Source organism: Homo sapiens, chromosome 1 (genome assembly GCF_000001405.40).
Source record: "Homo sapiens chromosome 1, GRCh38.p14 Primary Assembly".
In the NCBI taxonomy this organism is placed as follows: Eukaryota; Metazoa; Chordata; class Mammalia; order Primates; family Hominidae; genus Homo; species Homo sapiens.
In genome coordinates, this window is record NC_000001.11 from 33,925,542 (window position 1) to 33,948,083 (window position 22,542).

General features: G+C 46.5%; 1 protein-coding gene across 12 annotated transcripts in view; it reads right to left on the minus strand.

Annotated features, from left to right (window-relative positions):
* Positions 1-22,542, minus strand: part of CSMD2 (CUB and Sushi multiple domains 2) — a 651,845-nt gene that overhangs the window by 411,544 nt on the left and 217,759 nt on the right. For all 12 annotated transcript variants that reach the window (XM_047443685.1, XM_047443656.1, NM_052896.5 and 9 more), the window contains exon 4: positions 10,219-10,413. In XM_047443685.1, the coding sequence (XP_047299641.1) occupies positions 10,219-10,413 (195 nt within the window). The remainder of the gene's footprint in view (positions 1-10,218; positions 10,414-22,542) is intronic.

Here is a 22,542-nt window from a genome sequence, read left to right on the forward strand (position 1 = left end):
CTTATGAATTTTAGGATTGTTTTTTCTATTTCTGTGAAAAATGACACGGGTATTTTGATACAGATTACATTGAATCTGTAGGTTGCTTTGCAGCCTCTGTCCATTCTTCACAGAGGCCAGAGTAATACGGGAAACCATGGGCCTGATTACACCACTCTCTCTGTTGGAACCATCAATAACCCCCATTGTCACTCAGGATAAAGTGGAATACCCGATGACTCACAAGGACCTTACAGGGCCTTGCCTCATGCCAGTCTCTCTGTCCCTACTATCTGCAGCCACCCTGGCCTCCTCCCAGCTCTTCCGATTCACTAAGCATTGCCTTGCTCCAGGGCCTTTGAAAGTGTTATTTTCTCTTTCTGGAAACTTCTTCCCTATCTCGTTGGGCCTGACTGCCCCCTCGCCCTCAGCCTTTAGGTCCCGATCCAAGTGCTGCTTCCTCGAGGATCTTTACAGAAATAGAATAATCCCTCCCCCATCATATACTTTCTGAGCACCACATATTTTGCCATAATTAATGATTTTCCATAATTAATTGATCAATTATATCATTACTTAGTTAACATGTAGATAGCAAACTCCATGAGAACAGAGGCCATGTCTGTTCTGTCCCTAGCACCTAGCAGATTTCCTGGCATACAGCAGGCACTTGACTAATATCTGCTGAACAAATAAATGTAACAGAAAACTGAAGCTCAGAGAGGTTAAGTAATGTTCCCAAGGTCACATAGGGAGTGGCTGAGTCAAGATTTCAGTTGAGTGTCTCTGGTACCAGGATGGTAGTCTCCTCCACATCCCTGCTTGATAGTGGTTTGGTAAGCCATCCCGAGATTTTCAAACTTCCCAACTGTAGGCAATGATTTCTGGACTTGTGCTAGAACTGAGGACTTGAGAACTTGAGATCCTCTGGCCAGAGCTACCAGTCTCCTCTGAAGGCGGCACCTTTACCATTTTAGCCATCCCTGCCTCTTGGGCTCATCCGACACCCTGGCCCTTGCATCATCCTGTTTTGATTGAAGATCCTGCAAAAGCTGTTTGGAGGTTTTCTCCCACTTTAGACAAGGCATCATATTTCATGGTTACAACTCCAGAGTCATAAAATATAACCTTCAGCTGACACCATAGTCCTAAAATATTCATTTACACTTTCTCCTTCTCTGGCAATGGGCATTTTGCACCACCATTAAGTCATGCATATTCTCAGGTGCAGGTGTGTTATGCTGATAGTTGCCTTTCCAAGTTTATGACTTTATTTATGATCGACTTTAAGTTCTACGGAAATCTCTTCAATTAGCCATAATTTTAGAGAACTCTCCCTCAATCCTCTTTGATTTCTGTTAACTCTACAATGACTGACAAATTTCAGGCAGGAAATGGAGAAAACAGGACATTATCCTCTCTACTTCAGGCCAGCTCTAGGGTACCATCTTGCATGCCTAGAAGATTTGGGGTCCTTGGAATTGGCTTCTGTTCATATCATCTTCCCCAGGACCCCTCAGCCTCTGTGGAAATGAAGATGCCAACAGGCCCCAAAGGAGAAGCCACCATCTTCCAATTCCAGTGCAAGACTGAGAGCACCAGGGCAGGAGTGCCCCAAAGTTGCGGCCCACCCCCTTTTCTTGTGGTGAATGGTTTCGTGTGCCTAAACATGCTGGGGCCCCCAGAACTTGCTCAACTTCTTCAGTCCCCTCTTCCTGGGGGCTTTGGACTCTGCCCATTTATCCTTGGCTTTATCAATGACACTCCTTAAAATGAAGAAATGACCAATTCTGAGAACATCACTATTGCTCCCAGACTCCTATAGTTACAGCCACCTAAGGTATCCTTCTGAGGGGAAGAATGTAGACAGGACATGGTATTTGATTACATGACACTCCTTAGTGAGCTTTCATTATGGGCCAGGCATTGTGCAAAATGCTTCACCTGCATTTTCCCCTTTAATCTTCAAACCCTCGAGAGCATAGGTATTATCGTGCACATTTTACAGATGAGGAAACAGAGGCTCAGTGAGTTTTTAAGACTTCCTTGTGGTCACATAGCTACTAAATGTTGGAGCTAGGGTTTGAACCTAAGACCTTGTGACTCCAGGCCCACACCATTACCCACCTATTTGTCTGCCTCCTGGGCCTCAGTCACTATAATCCTGTTCCTGACATGGGCTAGGAGCAGGCTCCTGGAAGCACCAGACCCTGGAGATGGGGTTTTCCAGGCATGAGACGCTTCCTCCTGCTCCCTTCTCTTCTGCCTGGGGGCCTTTGTGCTGCCTCAAAAGTGCTGGTCCAGCTACCAGTGCTTAAGTGGAGGTGGGTGAACCTTGGGTCTGGCTTTCTTCATAGGATGGAAAAGTAGTTTCCAGCCCCCACCCTGAAGCAGCATCTGTCCAACAGAATGACCTCAGGCCCTTTCCCAGAGGTTTCTCTCCTCAGGAATGCATGGAAGGTCAAGGGGAAACCGCAAGAGACTGCCAGTCCCTGACTGGTGGAGCCATGCAGGGGATGCCTGCACCTGCAGGCCAAGCTCTCAGGCCCTGAACCATCAGGCTGGAGAAGCTCTGGAAATCACAGCATCATTGTGAGTCTCCTGCTGTGGGCCAGAGGCCACCATCCTTGCCTGCAGTGGAGGGTGGTGGTCAAGATCATGGCTGTTAGGCACGTGGACTTGCGCTGAATCCTGGCTCCACCACTCTCAAGCTGTGTAATCACAGGTAAAGCACTGCACCTCTCTGGGCCTCAGTTTCCTCACTTGTAAGAGGAGATAACATTACCTTAACCTCCTTGGGAGTTGTGAGGATTACAACAGGTAATGCAGGACCTGGTACTTAGTTAGGGCTCAATATGGTGGCCAGTGAGGCTGTGGCAGTGAGAATGACAATGATAGATACCCCTCACTGAGTCATAACTATGAACAAGGCCCTCTGCTATGTGCTTAGCATTTATCAATGTGAACCTCACTGCCAACTTATGAGTTAAGTACCATTATTATTCCCATTTACAAATGAGAAAACTGGGGCATAGAGAGGTTGAGTAACTGGTCCCAAGCCACTCAGCCAGTGGGTGTAAGTGGCAAGGCCAGGATTTGAATCCAGGTGACTGGCCTCCAGAGCCCATATCGTGAAACGTTCTGGTATAGTAACAGTAATTGCAAAAGTGATGGAAGGCTAGTTATCCCAGTAGCAGTAGAGTTACCCTATCGTAAAGAGTGGCCTTGGGTAGCTGTGGTCGCTGTTGAGGCCCCAGTGCTCAGAATCACTCAAGGTGCACACTGCACCCGGCATAGTGTTTAGTGCCTTCTCCATGTTGTTAAATTTGATCAACACAATGGTGTCCAGCATGCAGTGCCCAGACCCTCTTTGCTATCTACAGTGTTGCCCTCTTATGCCTTTCCCAGATCTCTTTCTAGCTTAGGACTCCTTCCAGCTGCAGAATCAATGCCCCCATTTGGATGTCTCACAGGCGTCTCAAACGTTACCTGGACAAAGTGAGCTGTCTTGCTTCCCTTTAGGGCACATGCTTCCTGCCCTCTGTGCCAGTCATCTCCATCTTGGTCATTGGCATCCCCACCCACCAGCCCTCCAGGAAAAGCCTAGGAGTCAACTTTGGCCCTTTATTCTATCAGCCATCCAACCCATCTATAAGGTCTGTTGGCTGTATCCCCAAAGCACAGCCCCAATCTACGCCTGTCCCTCCACCTCTACTCCGGCCACCCTCGACCAAGATGCAGCAACTCCAGCCTGGTTGCCCATAATAGCTGCCTCCTAACTGATCTTCTTATTGTGGCTCTTGCTCAGCTAGTATCCAGAGTGATCTTTTAAAAAAATTAAGTTAAATTGGACTATACTTCTGCTTAAAACTCTCCCCTGGTTGCCTCCTGAACTCAGAACCAAGCCTATACTTTTTTTTTTTTTTTTTTTTTTTGAGATAGAGTCTTGCTCTGTCACTCAGGTTGGAGTGCAGTGGCATGATCTCAGCTCACTGAAACCTCCACCTCCCGGATTCAAGAGATTCTCCTGACTCAGCCTCCTGAGTAGCTGGGATTACAGGCATGTGACACCACGTCCAGCTAATTTTTGTATTTTTAGTAGAGATGGAGTTTCACCATGTTGGTCAGGCTGGTCTCAAACTCCTGATCTCGCGATCTGCCCGCTTCAGCCTCCGCTTTCTTACCTTGCTTCACCCCATCCCTGCCCTCTCCACCCACCCCTCACTCTACTTTTGCCACAGGGGCTTGTTTTCTGTTCCTCTAGCGTGTCCAGTACTTTCCCCCACCTCAGGGCCTTTGCACTTGCTGCTTCTTTTGCCAGGAATGCCGTTTTCCAGGTCTTCACACAACAGGCTCCTCCTTGTCACAGGACTCATTTCAGAGGCCACCTCCCCACAGAGGCCTCCCCTGACTGCTCCGTCTAAAGTAGCCTTCCCCATCACTGGCTAAGACTTTACTTCCTCGTAGCTCCTACCACCACCTGTTTATTTGGCGTGTGTATCTGTTTTCTGCCTCCTGGCTGCTAGAATGTAAACTCCAAGAGATCATGGAATTTGGTCAGATTTGCTCATCATTCCAATTCTCTGAGTCTAGAACAATATTTGGCACTGTATAGGCAGTCAATAAATGATAATTGAATTAATGACTGGCTGGCTCATAACAGGCACTCAAGAGAAAGTTGTTGAGTAGCCAAGTGAATAAAATGAGGACACAATCAGCCCTGTAAGGCTGCTACTTGTGTCCCACCTTTAAAACTCAGAGGGGTTTAGCAGCACCCCTGGCAACCACACAGCTAGGGGCTGGCTTACCTAGGGTTGAACCCAGGCCAGTCTGACTCTATGCACTGTCCATACCCGACACCACTGCTTCTTTTTCACATTCTGCAGGTTTCTTCCCCTGGGGCCAGAAAATTTGGAATACAGCTCAGCGCTTGCAGTCCAAGCTTCTGCAGACCGTATTCCGTCTTCCCCAGGTATGGTGACAGCCTGCCGTGTTTGGCTTGAACCTCAGAGGCTAAGCACTTCTTGCTCTGGCCAGCTTTCTCCCTACCACCTGCCTCTCAGTCCCCAGTGCATATGAATTCCGTCACTTCCCCATGCAGCCTTCTTTGATCCAGGGCCAATGGCCCTCATAAATCAGAGGCCTGTTGCTGAAATCCACATGATCTTCCCTCTTGTGGATCAAAGAGATGACACAAAGCTCAGCACCTCCCAGGGACCTCTGCTTTTGAAAACGTGCCCAGTGTGACACAAAGTGAAGGGGGGTCACAGGCCCCATCTCCTTCCCTCTGTCAGCTGGACCAAGCCTTGATGGGTCAGGATCTTTGGGATGGGCCTCCTTGGGGGTCGGCCTTACACCTGGCTCCCCCCTATTCCCAGCTGTTCCCTATTCCCCCACTCCTAGTCTGTGCTGTGTCCCCAGACCAAGTCCACCCTCCAGCTGGGCACATGACATTTCCTAGATAAAACAGACACACACGGCTTTCCAGTCTGCTCCGGGAAGCTTTGGACTTAAAGAGATTGTCACTCAGAGCTACTGGGCAGGTGGGGTAACCCAGGCTAGTAATTTCCCTTTCGGGCTTGTATGCTAGCATGATTCTGATGGTGAATTAGACCCATCCAGACAGCCGTTCATTCAGCAAATATTTACGGACCACTGCCCAGTGGATGAGGTTTACCCACTCGCAGATGCCAGCTCTTGAGAGTTCTACACGAGAGGAAGAAAGGCCAAAAGGCTTTTAATGCTTCCCAAGTATGAACCTGTTCACTCTGGCATGACCACCACTCCTGGCACAGGATGGGTGTATGGTGGGTACCCTTTGTTCCTGTTTAGCTTGGCCTCCTAAGGAAGAACAGTTTGGGAAATCACTTTTATAAAATCACTGACATTATTGAGGATGTTTCTTAGGATATTCTTGTAGCTTGTGGGGATTATAATAGAGATGAACCTGAAGGTAGGGAGGTGACTGGGGGTGGGGGGAAGCCCTAGGGGGTCTGAGAGTTGGAAAGTCATTTTATTCTCTCCCAGCCTTTGAGCAGAACCACATCTCAGACCCCTCAGGCAGCAGGGGGCTGGAAGCCCTTCTAGAAGCAGGATTTGACATCCTCAGCTGGCTTCCCTAGGGCGTTTGGAAGGGAGCATTCTCTGGTGTGGCTAAAGTGGAAGCTACTTAAAATAAGTCTAAGAGACAGACTGGAAAGATTGGGGTGGGGCTCTTTCTGGAAGAGCCTTCTGCTCCATGCTAAGGAATCTGAACTAGACCCCGTCAGTGATGAAGAGCCACTAAGGGACTGAGCCACTCAGTTTTGTCAGATCTGTGCCTTAGCAAGTTCTCCCTAGCAGTACAGGTAGGAATGGGCTGGTGTGAGCAGGAGAGAACTGGGGCACACCTGCCTACAGAGGGTCAACCTTCAGTGAGGCAAGTGAGAGACGAGAGAGCCTGGACCATCATCTGAAGAGCAACAGAGATGTGGAGGGGGTAGGCTGGTGCAGAGGGACATGGGGGCCGATGATGCGATGTGAACAGCAAGAAAAGCAAGAATGTAAGATGCCCTGAGGGGTTCAGCTTGGCCACTGTTGGTGGGGACACTTTTCACTGAGCTGGGGAAGGCAACAAAAAGAGCAGGTTTGGGGAAAGCAGGAAGAGTGAGGTTTTCATGGGCCAAGTTTGAAACAAGCTGAGGAGAACTTTAGCATAGTTCACTCTCCACAGGGGCCTGAAGCTCAGGACAGAGAATGGGGTTGGAGGTGGGGATTGGAGAGTTGCCCCCTAGTAACAATTACAGCAACACAGTAGATGAGAAATTCCAAGAGATGGAAGAAATCCCCAGAGAAGAGGCCGAGCTGGGCCCTCCAGTATTTAAGGGGAATGAGGGTGGAAAGTCAGTGAAGGAGAAGGAGGGAAAGAATCATCATCATTTCAGACGACGAAAAAAGAATTGGAAGACTTCAGAGAGTCGTGCCACCAAAAGACATGCCACCCCCGCCCAGGCCCATGAATTACTGTGTGGTGTGAATGCCAGAAGAGTGGTATCTCTCCACCCTGCTCCTTCCCTCGGAAGGGCCAGCCCTTGCTGCCCGCTGTGCCTGGACACAAAGACACTGGGTTGTGAGCCTTGATTGGACATGAAGACATCCAAGAGGTAGAAGACCTCCATGAGGTGCCCCTCATCACTTATCTCTGGCTGGTGGGGTAACAAAAAGATATGTTAACATCCAGCCCCAGAGTGTCTTATAGAATGAGAGTTCTCTTTGTTCAGGAAAATACTACCCTATACCTAAATAGCTTGGAGGAGGAGGGGAGACATTAGACTGCAAGGAGATGACAAAACCAAGAGGAAACCAGGCTCTTGTGCCTAAGAAGTTGATGGAAATTCTGAAATGGGCTCAAGGTGCAGGCAGCACCAAGGTGGAAGAGGCTGGAGAAAGAAGAGAGGGTACAATGCACATCACAGGGGAACCTGGAGCCTGCCAAGACAGAAGCCAGGGAGAAGCTTCCCGGGAGGAGGGGCCAAAAGACTGTGAAGCTCCTGGTTGCTCATACTTTCATTTTAAGTCATTTGCATTGCTAAGATGTAAGCTCCTTGCATTGCCACACCTTCCATAAAGCCTGAACTACATGCAGACGCCTTCGTTGATGTTTTTGTTTGTTGGCTTGTATTTTGTCTTTTGGAGAAGTAGGGGATCCAAGAAAAATGGACCCAGTTCCCAACCTAAGTTGGCAGAGCAGAAGCAGGGGTAGGGAGACAGGGCATTGAGTTCAAGATTCAGAGGAAGCTAAAGCTGACAGATTCCTGGAGATATTAGGAGGGTTAGTGGATTTCCACCATATTAGCATTGGATATTGCTGAGTATTTTACTTCCCCAAGCAGAGTGATACCCCCGCTGCATCCAGTAATTGGATTACATTTGTTTCTGGTTTTTATCTTGAACAAAATAGCATGGCATTTATAGTGCTGCAAAAAGAAAAAGAACTGCAGTTTATATTTCATAACTTAGACACTTGATTTTATTTACTATCATATTTCATATTCTATCATCGTGTCACAACTCTGACACCCTCCTTGGAAGATCAGAATGTTAACGGTAACATCCTTAAGGCAGGGGGTGGGTAAGGATGCTATAAGGAAGGGCAGATACAGCAGCTTTCAGGCTGTGGTTAGGCCACACACCTGTGTAGGGGCCAAGGTCTCACCTGATTGGTTTGGTAATTCCTGAAGTCCATCATGGAAAGAGGCAGTTCCTGAGTTAGGAATGGGGCCTGGGAAGATGGGACTTAGGAAAGCAGGAAAGGGAACTCTAGTTCCCTTGTGGTCCACCAAGAAGGCTCAACATGGCCAAGGCCCATTCTATTGGTTGAGGAGAGGTAAACAAAGGTGAAGTCAAGTGGCAACTCAGATTGATTGGCTGTGGCTTGCCTATTGGGAGGGAATTCACAGCTGTGTCTGGACCCAAGCAGAAAGGGTGCAATGAACAATTAATTATGTCTGCCATGGGATTGGGAAGAAGGGGAATAGGTATACATGCCATGTAATTTTTATCCTTGGTGTCAATAACAAAAAGTGTGTGCATGTGGCAGGAAGAAGGAGTTGCTTATCCCTGGAGCTAGTCTTTTACAGTAATTACAGAAAATCTTCCTCCAAAAGAAAAATAAAATTTGAACTAAAGGAGGAGCTAGTTATTCCAATGACTTCTCAACTCCTGGAAATGTTCCTCCCAGACTGATATATGGATGTTCAGGATCCATGGAATTTAGAGATGAGCGTTACTAGAAGAAAAGAGTGGTCAATAGTGCAAAGGTTTCTTAAGAGGTCAAGAAATACAAGAGCCAAAACAATTCCCATCTGATTTGGCAAAATGATGCAAATATTGAGGGCAAAGGCCAGTCTGCAGAGGAGTAAATGAGAAGGGAAAAGGAGGGACAAGGCTGGATGGAGCTTTCAAGATGCTGGGCTATGTTGATGGCATGGGAAATCTTACAGTGTGATGTGATTGATTGTTTTTCAAAGGTGGTTAAAAATTGTCTGCATGCATCATAATCTCAATTTATGTACATATTTGTAATATATGCATATGTGCAATACGTATTGGAAGAAGATGGAAAGGACATACATTAAAATCACAGTTAAAACAGGTAAATTTTCTTTCTTCTTTATTCCCTTCTGTATTTTCTAAGCTTTTAAAAATGATCGTGTGCCACGTATGGTGGCTTATGCCTGTAATCTCAGCACTTTGGGATGCCAAGGCCGGAGGATCATTTGAGCTCAGGAGTTCAAGACCAGCCTGGGCAACATAGAGAGACTCTGTCTCCATGAAAAAAAAAAAAAAAAAAAAATTAGCCGGGCATGGTGGCACATGCCTGCGGTCCCTGCAACTCCAGAGGCTGAGGCAGGAGGATCGCTTGATCCCAGGAGTTTGAGGCTGCAGTGAGCCATGATTACGTCACTGCACTCCAGCACGGAGGACAGAGGAAGATCCTGTCTCAAATAAAATTAAAAAAAAAAAAAAAAAGAAAAAAGAAAAAGAATGAAAGAAAAAAGAAAGGAAGAAAGGAAAAAAAAAAGAAGATTGTGTAAGGAATAGGCTGGGAGTAGAGTGACAAATGTCTCTGTTGCCTGAAACTGAGTGGGTTTCCAGGATGCGGAACTTTCAGGACTAAAATTGGGAAGGTCTTGGGCAAATATGAACAAGTTGGTCAACCTAGCTGGGAGGCTGAGGCCGACACAGCATAGAAGAGAGGTGTTTTTCTGGGGGAGGGGGTTGTTGGAGTAAAGAGATTTTGAGCATATTTGGAGGCTGAAAGGAAGAAACTATTAGATAGGGAGAGAGGCTGAATTTATAGGAAAGAGAAAAGAATAATTCCTACAGTGAGGTCAGTACGAAAGCTGTTGGGAAAGTGATCTGGCTTCCACAAGAGGAGAGAGGGTCTGCAATAGGAAGAGAAATGATGTTTCTTCTGAGACAGGAGGGCTAGAGGTAAGGGAAGACTGGCTACATATAAGTTTGTTGATACAGGGGAAAAAATGAGGGAGTGCACACTTGAGGGTTAGGAGGTCAGGTGAGGTTGAAATACCCCTAGAACACTTGAGGACCCTGAAAACCCTCTGTGCTGTCCAGACTTGGGTACCCCCCTCCCTGCTGGGGTGTAGCTTTGCCCTTTGAGACTGGATGTCACTGGAAGCTCCAGCATCACCTCCCAGCCACTGCCCCACTCTGTCAGACCCCTTGCTGGCCACCTACCTCTGCAGGAAGGCAGGGGGAAGTCCCACGTGGCGCTGTTCTCAGAGCCAGCGTGGCAGGTGAGCACGGCGTGGCCCTCCAGGAAGAAGCCAAGGTTGCAGCTGTAGCGGACCTTGTCACCGAGGTTGAAGGTTGAACCCTGCTGGATGCCATTGGGCAGCCTCCCTGGGTTCCCACATGTGTGGCTGGGGAGAACTGTGAGGAGAAACAGAGAAAGAGACGGGTACCCCGTGAGCTGGGCTGGAGCCCTGACACCGGGCTTCCTAGTAGCAACTCCCTAGGCCACTCGGGCTTCCTGGAACTCATTTCTTCTTCTGTGAACAGCATTGCCCACTGCTGATCTGCCCGCTTCTCAAGGCTGTAGATTCCCTGGGAATGGGTTACTCATAAGAGACAAGGGTTACTCAAAATCTCACACATGAGTTTACAACTGGATGTCCAGGTCTCTTGCCTTTTCTAATGCGCAGCCATGGATGTGAATTATGTTCATCCTGATCACTAGAGATGCAATTCCAGGAATATTACTTTAACCTCTTGGGCATGGCTGGCCTGATTTCAGACTCCACACTCCTCACTAAATACCATGGAAGGGACATAAGGCATGGCATAAGAGTAGGTGCTCATTAAATCCAGTGTCCTTTCTTTCATGTGTGATCCACCCTGGCAGCCAGAGGGGCACTTTGGCCCCGCAGGTTCAGGGGAGTTGAAAGGGTTGGATTAGGCAGAATAGGCAGTGAAGTGGGAAAACAAGAACCCGGGTTCTCATCAGCCTGACTGGTTTAAAGGGGGAAAATTGGGAGCCAGGAAACACCATGCACAGTGTGTGGCCAGAGCCAAGCAATCATGGTCACCTGCAAGTGTGCTCTCATGAGGCAGAGGAAATGGTCTTGGGGAAGGTGCAAGAGCACCATGACCTGGCAATAAGGAGGGAGGGAGGACACAGATTCTCTGTGCCCATAAGTCAGTCACCTGTTCTAACTGACCCAGCTTCCCCCTGCCCTCTGCCTTGTCCCCCAGAGTTAGAACTGCCTGTGCCTTAAAGGTCAACACCTCCTATCATTCTAGGATACCCCCATGGGGTGAGGAGTAGGGGTCTTAGTCATGCCCAGACTACCGTTTAAGTACCTCTCCATTAATCCACCTGGCAATGACTTATTGAGGCTGTCTCTGAGAGGCCATGCAGCCGGATGGTGGTAAGTGCAGACTTGGAAGCCACCGTGCTTGAGTTCACTTCCCAGCCTGAAATCTTACCACCTGTGGGACCGTGAGTAAGTCTTTTAACCTTTTTGCACTTTAGTTTCCTCATTTGTAAGATAGGGAGCTCAACAGCACCTTCCTTATATCAAAATAATTGTTGCAAGAATTAAGCCAGTTCAGGTATGCAAAGTGCTTAGGACAGAGCCTGATGTACAGTGAGTACAACGCAAGTGAATCTAACCCTCGGTACAGTGGGTGCTGTGCACAATTAATGGCACACTAAGAGTTATGATGGGACAGGAACAGGTAGGGAACCAAACCCAGCTGGGGGAGAGGTCAGAGATCACTTCCTGGAGGAGGTGACATCTCTGCAGAACCCTGGGAGATTAGTAAGACTTAGCTAAGCAAAAAAGAGCAAACAGCATGTGCAAAGGCCCTGAGGCCAGAGATAACCCAGGAGCTGAGGGAGCCTGGAGTAAAAGAGTGGGGTGGCAGTGATGGGGAAGTGGAAGTGGGCAGGCCTGGACTCTAAATGGCCCCCCTAGTCCTTGCAATACCCTCTTCCTGCCAATGTTGCTGTTAGTATCTGCCTTCCAGAACCCTCTACCAGCTCTGATGATCTCAGAACCCTCTGAAAAAAGGTATTCCCTCCCCCTTCCTCTCTTCCTCCTCTGAGAGGAAACAGCTCAGTGTAGAGGGTAATGGTAGACTTTGGAACCAGCCTGATCTGGGTGTGAAACCAGGTGCCATCATGTCTTATTCTGTGTGACCTTGAGTCACATGAACTCTCTGAGCCTTAGTTTCTTCAAATGAGAAAGGAGTGAGGCCAATAATATTTAGCGGTTGAGGGAGTTACCAATATAAATGCTGCATGCCTGGCACAACGCCCAGAACATAGTAGGTGCTCACAAAATGGCAAATGTTCTCATTCCATTGGGCCACAGGGCCATGAGGGCGTGGGCCTAGTCTGGTTCATAGGTATATCCTGGGAGACTAGCACAGTGCCTGGCACTTGTAGGGACATATGTGCATGTTCATTAATTAGTTATTTGGAGAGTTACTCATTCATGTATTAATTCCTTCATGCAACAAAAATTCATTGTGGGCTTACCGTGCTTGGCACAGTGGGGCCAGCCCTCAGAGGCTTATATTTTTGTGAGAGTGAATCTTAAAGACTGAAGAGCTCTTCCTTGCCCATTCTTTACCTGTGCCAAGTGAGATGATCTAGATGAAAAGATTTACCTCTATTGCCCTGTCCATTGGCCCAGCTTAGCATTTCCCATGATCCCACACTGCTAGTTTACTTAGCATTTCCCATGATCCTGTGCTGCTGGCTTACTTAGCATTTATCATATTCCCCTGCTGCTGGCTTGCCTGGTGTTTCCCATGATCCTGTACTGCTGCTGGCTTACTTGGCATTTCCCATGATCCCCTGCTGCTGGCTTACTTGGCATTTCCCATGATCCCATGTTGCTGGCTTACTTGGCATTTCCCATGATCTCACACTGCTGGCTTATTTGGCATTTCCCATGATCCCCTGCTGCTGGTTTACTTGGCATTCCCTATGATCCCATGTTGCTGGTTTACTTAGCATTTCCCATGATCCCATGTTGCTGGCTTACTTGGCATTTCCCATGATACCATGTTGCTGGCTTACTTGGCATTTCCCATGATCCCCTGCTGTTGGCTTACTTGGTACTTCCCATGGTCTCCTGCTGCTGACTTACCTGGTGTTTCCCATGATCCTGTACTGCTGCTGGCTTACTTGGCATTTCCTATGATCCCACACTGCTGGCTTACTTGGCATTTCCCATGATCCCCTGCTGCTGGCTTACTTGGCATTTCCCATGATCCCACACTGCTGGCTTACTTGGCATTTCCCATAATCTCCTGCCGCTGGCTTACTTGGCATTTCCCATAATCCCATGTTGCTGGCTTACTTGGCATTTCCCATGATCCCTTGCTGCTGACTTACTTGGCATTTCCCATCATCCCATGCTGCTGGCTTAGTTGGTACTTCCCATCTTTTGCTCTTGGCTTACTTGGCGTTTCCCGTGATCCCCTGCTGCTGGTTTACTTGGCATTTCCCATGATCCCATGCTGCTGGCTTACTTGATACTTCCCATGATCTGCTGCTGACTTACTTGGTGTTTCCCATGATCCTGTACTGTTGCTGGCTTACTTAACATTTCCCATGATCCCACACTACTGGCTTACTTGGTACTTCCCATGATCCCCTGCAGCTTGCTTATTTGGTGTATCCCATGAGATCCCATGCTCCTGGCTTATTTAGCATCTTCTATGATCAGTCCCTGCTGCTGGTTCACTTGGCATTTCCCATGATGCCCTGCTGCTGGCTCACTTGGTGTTTCCCATAATCCTATGCAGGTGTCTTACAGCAGAGGCAATGACTGTGATGTGTGTGTGCTTATGAGTGTGGGGTGGGAAGGGCAGGTCAGGTAAACATTTGGAGAAAAAAGCAAGCTAAGGTGAGGGGAGGGAGCCAACTAGGGGAAATGAGCTGAGAACTGGTGTAGAACTAACGTGTCATTTTCCGCAATGAGACGCAAAGACCCAATTTAATTAAATTACTAATGTCAAATTTTTAATGAACCTGCTTCTGCTTTGGGCTTTCTTCCTTCGAAATTAATGACTGGAACATCACTATAAATAAAAGTCGATTCTTCTTAAAAAGTCACTCTCAAAAGCTCACTGCTCTTTACTTAATGAGCTGTTCACAATCAGACCACTCTGACCTGATGCTTCCATTGGGACCTGGGTGTAATGAATGGGGCTCATTTCCAACCCCACCTGCTTTTTTATGCCAAGCTCCACTCCTGAGAGGTCCCACAGTGGATGGAGAAAGGCCAGACTTTAGGCTCAGAGAGACATGGGTTCAAATCCCCGATCTGGCTGCGCAATCTTGAGCTGTAAACTTTCCCTCACTGGCCTTCAATTCTTCAGAAACTGGGGATACTTTTTCATCCTGTAAGGGTGTTTTCATTTGCTAGGACTCCTGTAACAGCACCACAAACTAGGTGGCTGAAAACAACAGAAACTTATTTTCTCACAGTTATGAAGGCTAGAAGTTTAAAATCAAGGTGTCAGCAGAGCCATGATCTCTTTGAAACTTGTAGGTGAATCCTTCCTTTTCTCTTCCTAGCTTCTGGTGGTTTGCTGGCAATTTTTGTTGTTCCTTGGCTTGCAGATGCGTCATTCCAATCCTCTGTCTTCACACGGTGTTCTCTTGCTTTGTTTCTGTGTCTGAATGTCCCTTTTTTATAAGGACACCACTCATATTGGATAGGGTACACATCCTAATGACCTCATCCTAACTTAATCATCTGCAAAGACCCTGTTCCAAATGAGGTCATATTCACAGGTACTGGGGGTTAAGTCTTCAACATAGCTTTTAGGGAGACACAATTCAACTCATCACAGGGCTGTTGCGCAGATTAAAATTCAACTTATAATACCTACCCCTGAGTGCCTAGTACGTTTCAGGTCCTGGACTAAAAGCTTATTTTACTTTTAGTCCAGGACCTGAAACATACCAGGCACTTTATCTTGTGGGATATGGAGTATCCTCATTTTACAGGTGAAAAAAAAACAGGCACAGAGAGCTTCATTCACTTGCTTGCCCAAGGCCAAACAACTAGAAAATGGCAGAGCTAGGTTGAGGACCTCGGTCTTTCTGCCTCCATTGTTCAGCACTCTGGAATGTGAGACTGCTTCTGACAGAGGCAAAGCATCCAAGCACATAGTGGGTGCTTAATAAACAAGAGTTCCCTTACTCCTTTCATCATTCTAGGCACTGCAATAAGATGAAGAGAGATTACCCGACTGTCCAGATTTAATAGTCTGATTTTTTTCCCAGTCTGATTTGCCAGTCCTGTACTTTTTAATAATGTCAAGGGCAACATTTAAAGTGTGGTCTTTTGTTATGTGTCTAATGTGCAACCTGCTGGACAGACATAGGAGATTGGAGATAAGCTACAAAGCGAATCCTTTCTAAGGCACCGTGTTCTTTGATTTTTTTTTTTAGAATGTCCGTGTATTTTTTAGCACAGATACTATAACCGTTCATGCTCTCCCATCTATAAAGCTTCCCTTTGATTGCTTACCAAATGAAGAGGGGGATATTTACATCCAACGCAGCCCAGAACAATATTATTAAAGCAGTGCCTGACATTGAACAATTCCATTGTAGATTAGCTGTGGGGAATTTTTGTCTCTTCTACAAAGCCCGACTCTTGCCAATCAACGTAATATTCTCAGTGATTGCATGACAATGAATCTCCTCTGTGGCTGAAGTGCAGCAAAAGCTACATCATGCCTTCTTTTATTTTTAATTTGAGACTTTGGTTCCCTTATTATAATGAAGAGTCATTTATGCTCTCTGGACAAGCACCCTCCATATGTTTTGATTTCTTCTCTTCCATCAAGTAACTTGTTTCATCTCCATGGCCATACGATTGATACCAAGTGGTAGGCTAGTTGGGAAGAAGAATTCAGGGAGAAGGATTTAGTCTTCCCACAATCCTCATCATGGAAAGAAGAGAAGGTGATGCCTGTGTACGTGTGTCCATATGTGTGTGATCTGGGGGCAGTGGGCAGGATCAGGGAGGGAAGAATAAAAACTACTCTTTTTTGAGTCCCAGATCTGTGCTAGGCACTTCTGCATCATATATTAGCTTACTTAATCTTTACGACTCCCTTATTTTTAGCGGTTTGGCCTTTTAAACATAATTCATAGCATACTTACTCTGTGCTATCCTTAATGTCAAGTGCTTTTCATATATTTCCATCCCCAAAGAGTTTTCTATACTTGCTGTCTCCATTTCCTCTCCATTCAACTGATATATATTTATATTTTATTATACATGAGATATATAATTATACATTTTATATATGTCATATATAAAGTTAATATACTTCATATACTACAAATGATATGTATTTTTGCTTGATACATCCATCTGTTTATTGTTAGTCTCACCTTGCTACAGTGTAAGCTCCATAAGGACAGGCATTTTTTGGTCTTTTTTGTTCAACGCTGTTTCTCAGTTCCAAGAACAGTGCCTGATGTATAATAATAACTTCATAAAAGCTTACTGAGAGACTTAATGATCTTATTTAATCCTCCCAACAACCTATCGAGAGAGGTGCTATTATTATCATCACTTGTTGAGATAAGCATAGTTGCCAGAGATGTTGGAGCATTTATCCAAGGCCACGTAGCTCACTGCAGGGGCAGAGGCAGGTTTTCACATCACTGTCTGGGATTCCACATTTCTGCCTGCAATAGGCCATTCTTGCACAGTCCATTCCACAGGAAGTCCATAGTGACTACTGTACCTTGAAACATTCTCACAAGGAATTCACATGCATTCTCCTGAGGGAGAGGATTTGGGGTGACAACCAGGCAAGCTGACCTCTAGGTTGGTCCTGTATATTTCCTGCTACCTGTCAATCAAATAGAGGCAGAGGTGCCAGGGCATCAGATGGAGGATGCCACCCACAACTAGTCAGAGGGCCCCGCCCTGCTGGGCTTTGCCCTAACCATTGTCAGGCAGAAGCCCTCCGCCATAAGCCTATTCTCTCGACTCATGTTTGTGATTCTGCAACCTTCAGCATCATGGTTATGTGGAAAGTTTTATAAAGATACTGATGCTTAGACCCTGTCCCTAAACCTGCTGAATCATAACGTGAGAAACAGAGCCTCGGCTGCTCCAGGAGACTGAAAAGCTGAGATTGAGAACAACTCCCACTAACCTATTCATGTAAGTTATTCCACTGGCCCAGCTGGGTTTATCTCTCTGAGCTTTAACTGCTCAATCTCCAGGGCCTTTCTTGTTTTTAGGTTTTTACTTCTGACAGCAGCAAATGTGGCCTCTCTCCTAGAGTTTCCTGTCCTCCATAAACCACACTAGCCCTATAACTTCCTTCTCATTTGAAGACCCTCATGGTCTCTTCCCTGGACTTCTGTGCCCAACTCTGATCTTCTCACTGCTGGCCTTGCCCTCTCCAGTGCATTGTCCTCAGCAATGCTGGAGCCAGCATTCTAGAATGACAAATTCACCATGGCCATGCCCTATTGACCCTGCCAGGAGCCCACATTATAAAAGTAAGTTCCTTACCACCAAGGCACAGGCAAACACAGAACCTATGGTCTTCTGGGTGACTCTCATGAGAATACATAATAATTTGAAAGATTAATTTTTAAAAAAAGGAAATAAAAAGAAAACCTTAAGAACCTCTCTGTTGCCATCAGTACGAATTAAAGCTTAGGCCTAGGCTGCCCCCATCCTTGTGATCTGACTGTTGCTGACGTTTTTTCTGCCTTCTCTCATCTTGTCCTCTCTACCTTTTCTCTCAAATTCTTCATCTGGCAAACTCCATCAAAGCCACACTTAAATGTCACCTCCTCCGTAAAGCCCTCCTTGATACCCTAAGTGTCTTGTATAACCCATAAGATCCCACAAGAACACATCTTGATTGACTATAAATACTGTCACAATGTCATTGGCAATTGGCTGTTAGAATCCTGAATCTCCTGGCCCATGAAATAGGCAGGCTCCCTCTGTTCATTTTGTTAATGTTGCAATCTCACAAGCCCACATTTTACATGATTGGGTTTTTTTGGACCCCATCTAAGGAGTTACGTGGGGGTTTCCTTGCGCTTCAATTCCTGCACTTTGTTGTACATTGTAATTCATTCATTCATCCACTTATAACACCCTGGCTTCCAAACAGGAGCTGAGCCTGCTTGTTGTAATTGTTTCTTTAGGTGTCTATTTTCATCTCTGGACTCCTTGAGGGGCAGGAACAGTGCTGTATTCTTTATATATCTAGCATTTGATTTCATGTCTGGCAGGAAGCGAGTGCTTAGTTGAAGCCGGAATGTGTTGAGTGAATTAAATATATATGTATACATAATAAAATATATATTATATATTAATCAGAATTACACACACACACACACACACACACACACACACACACGAAGCAATAAATAGTGTAAGAATTGGCAAACATTTTCCATACAGGGCCAGATAGTAAATATTTTTTGGCCTTGCAGGCTATATGGTCTCTGTCACAGGGACCTGATTTTTTCCATGCAGTGTGAAAGCAGCCACAGGCAATATGTGTTCTAACCAAACTTTAGTTATAAAAATAGCCAGCTGACCCACAGACCACAGTTTGCTGACCCTGAACTAGTGTTTATTCAGTTATGTACTTATGTGAGGCATATGATTCATATCTCAGGAACGCCCCCCCCCCAACTCCTGTGATAAAAGCAAGTGAGGAAAGCTCAGTTTTGATGGGAGTCAACGATGGGAAGGGACTGTGGGGCGAGTGGGCTGCACCAGGGAAGGTGCTGGACAGAGGTGACTAGCAGGTACTGGAAGAGACAGGCAGGTGGCACTTGAAGATTGAGACCTACATCAAATTTCCTTTTCCCTACCATTTGGCCCTGGGGACAGGTGGGCATTGTGCTGACTGCAGGGAAGGGCTTGTGTATTTATAGCCTCCACCCTTCCCCATTAAAATAGGATTCATTTTTAGTCTTTATAGCTAATCTTTAGGTTGGTAAAGATGACCTCATTTTACCAAAGAGAGAGTTGAATTTAGAGATCCGAAGGGTCACACAGCTAGTAGGAGTAGTGAAAGTAATAATAGTCACGGCTTGAGTGTTTACTATGAGCTGGGCACATTGCTTAGCATTCTTCTATTTCATCTTATGCGGACGGAGGTACTACAACTGTCTCCTTTTTACAGGGAGGAAACTGAGGAACAGCCGGGCTAACTCTTACCCGGGGCTACAATGCAGGTTGGGATCAAAGCTGGGGTTAAAACCCAAGCTGCTTGATCTAAGGGCTGTGCCTTTTACCATGTTGTAATCTTGATCTCCCAGGATTCAAGACCCTTGTTTGTTTCACTGCTTCCCCAGTGTGGAGTCCATGCTCTTGGTAACTTCAGAGTTCCTCTCCTTGCCAGGCCTAGAGGATTCCCAACCCACATCCAGTCAGAGCTCTCCTTGGCCCCTTTCCTCCAACCTAGACTAGCTGGGGCTGCAAAGACATCCATCATTGCACCAGAGGGGCCACAGAGAGGCTGTCAGAACAGAACTCTCCTTGCTGCTTCCTAACCACAGAACCCATGGCTTCCTCTCTTCCACCTGGGATTCTTTAAAGAAGCACCACCAAGAAGGAAACATCATAGGCCCCAGAATAGAGCTGCCAAGTAAAATATAGGACTCCCAGTTCGATTTGAAGTTCAGAAAAACACAAACCCTTCTACAGTATAAGGATATCCCTTGGGATATTTGGAATATGCTTATACTAAAAAGACTTTGTTATTTGAAATTCAAATTTAACTGGGTTTCTTGTATTTTAATTTGCCAATTTGGGCAACCCTGACCCAGAGGGAAGAGGTATCTCTTCTGCGTCAAAGACTTCAACCTCTTAAAAAGTTGGGGCCATTTCTCTGGGGAAATGGGGCAGAGGAAAAGGGGAAGAGCTAGACCCTGCCTTTAAGGAATTTAATATTGAGCTGGAAGAGTGGATGCAGAGGGGGATGTTTCAGGGCCTCCTAGGGTAGGACCTGAGAAGGTTTGGGATACAGCAAGATTGCAGGGGAGCAGGGAGCCACATTGCCTCCTTCCTGCTCCTGTCACTCTCTAAGGGAAGTTCAGTTTTTCCAAACCAGTAACACGTGCTGCCCCTGTTTCAGAAGACTGTGGCAAGCCTTGGTCCCTTGGAGGAAGAGCATTAGGCTGGCACCAGGTCCTTCATCCTGCGGCCTATGTGAACCTCTCCAGCACCTGCCCTGCTGCCCCCTGCTCAGCCCGATCTGCCCCGACAGCACCCTAGCCCAGGGATGATCAAATATATCTAGACAGAAAAACACATGGAAAATAAGTGGTACCCTATGGTGAAACATGGCTAAATACTGTTAGTATTAGGCTTAGAATAGCTAAATATGCAATTTGAGGCTAAATTTGATTAATTGCATAGTGGGGTAGAAAATTATTTTCCGGTGTGTTCTATGATACACTGGCTGAGAAATAAACTTAATAAGAAAAACATTCAGTGTGTCAGGTAATTTTAAAAAATACAACAGAAACTCCCTCCCTCTTGAAGAAACCAGTGCTCACAAGTTTATCTGAGAGTTTCTGCAGGAGAAACCTGCTTAACCTTGCTTAATCCAGAATTTCCAAAAATTTGACTACATAATCACTGCCCTGACTTTGGAACTTTACTCTCAGTAATGCCTAATAAACTCTGAATTGTTCTGCGAAACACATTTTGGGAGGTGTTGGATTCTGGAATAAGATAAACCTGAGTTGCTTTACTTTCTGTACTAGTCATTATGAAAATAAAACAACAATAGCAAGGGTACTTGACGTTTACATAGAACTTTCCAGGTTAATGTGAAAATGTTTTTCTTGACAAACATGTCTCCCACTGGAACATGCAAACAACTGTTTGTTCTGGGGGCAGGATTGGCCTAAGGTCTTCTATGACCCATTGGCTAGTAACTTGTGGTGGTAAAATCAATTCTTACAAAAGAAGTAAACTTGTCACTTCCAGAGGAATGTAGCATGTTAAGAAAGGACAAAGAGGACAAAGAGATACCTTCTTTCTTTTCATCTGACAACTTTTTTTTTTTTTTTTGAGACGGAGTCTTACTCTGTCGCCCAGGGTGGAGTGCAGTGGCATAATCTTGGCTCACTGCAACCTTCACCTCCCAGGTTCAAGCGAGTCTCCTGCCTCAGCCTCCTGAGTAACTGGGATTACAGGCGCGCACCACCCACCATGTCCAGCTAACTTTTTTTTTTTTTTTGTATTTTTAGTAGAGATGGGGTTTTTACCGTGTTAGCTAGGCTGGTCTCCAATTCCTGACCTCAAGTGATCCACCTGCCTTAGCCTCCCAAAGTGCTGGGATTATAGGCATGAGCCACCCCGCCCGGCCACCTGACAATTTTTATAGCAGGATAGGTTTTCTGTTTGTCTGGGTCAGAATGACCCTCAGGCTTTGGGAGGTTTATGGCCAGGGCTGCCATGTTTGGCCCACATCCCTGTCCAGCTGCAGATAGAATGTCATCTCCTATGGCCTCAGCCCTGAACCAATCCTGGCAAAGGAGCTCAAAGAGGAGGAGGCTCTGAACCTGGCTGGAGGGTCCTGCCTTGAGGCTGGGGTTTATAACTATTGGTGAGGCTGCACACCTGGAAGGTTACTCTATCCCTTGCCAGGGCTGTCCTAACAGACTGCATAACTAGCCTTGTTATCTCCTTAACCTCCCCCAGGGTGGGAGCCCTGCTCTGGGCCAGGCTCTGCTGCCCCTGCCCAAGGCTGAGTCTTAGTCCCCTATATCCTGCTGGCTGGTAGGGAAGTATTGCCTTGAGGACCTGCATTACTTGGGATGCCCATAATGATGTCCCACACATCAACTAATCCCTTAGACAACAGAACTCCAGAGCCCCTATTTCCTCCACTTGGCTCCCCGTCCACGGCCCTGAAGCCCCAGCACACCTCACAGCCATCTCTCTTAAGGCAAGAGACAGCTGAACTTGTATTTTACTGGAAGAAGCACCATGTTCCCAAGGCTCCAGACCCACGGCCTCTCTCCTTCCAAGAAGAGTTAGACAGAGGGGCCCAAAGAGGAACTGAGGAAGAGGCGTCTGACCACCATCAACCACCTTCTGCAAATGATGGTGAACAGGGCGACTGCAAAAGACAGGGATTCAACGTGTGGTGCACTTGAGTTCCCGTAGGGTGTCCTGTGAATCCTCATCCTCCTCACTTCCTCCTTCAGCATAAGCACCATCGCTTACGGACCACTTCTATGACAAACTTCACACTTAATCCTTTCTCATTTAATGCTCATAATAGCACTGAGGTGGATACTGTGCCCATTGGACAGGAGAGGAAACTGAGGCGCAGAGAGGGTGAGTCACTTGCTCACATTCACACAGCATGGAACCAGGGGAACTGGGGTGTACACCTAGTCAGCCTGACTTTGGCACCTTCTTTCTTAGCTGCTGTAGAAGTGAAGGAAGAGTTGGTGAGTCATAAGACTATCTTGCTGGCTACAGAGTCTGCTTTGAGGCTTTGTTTCCT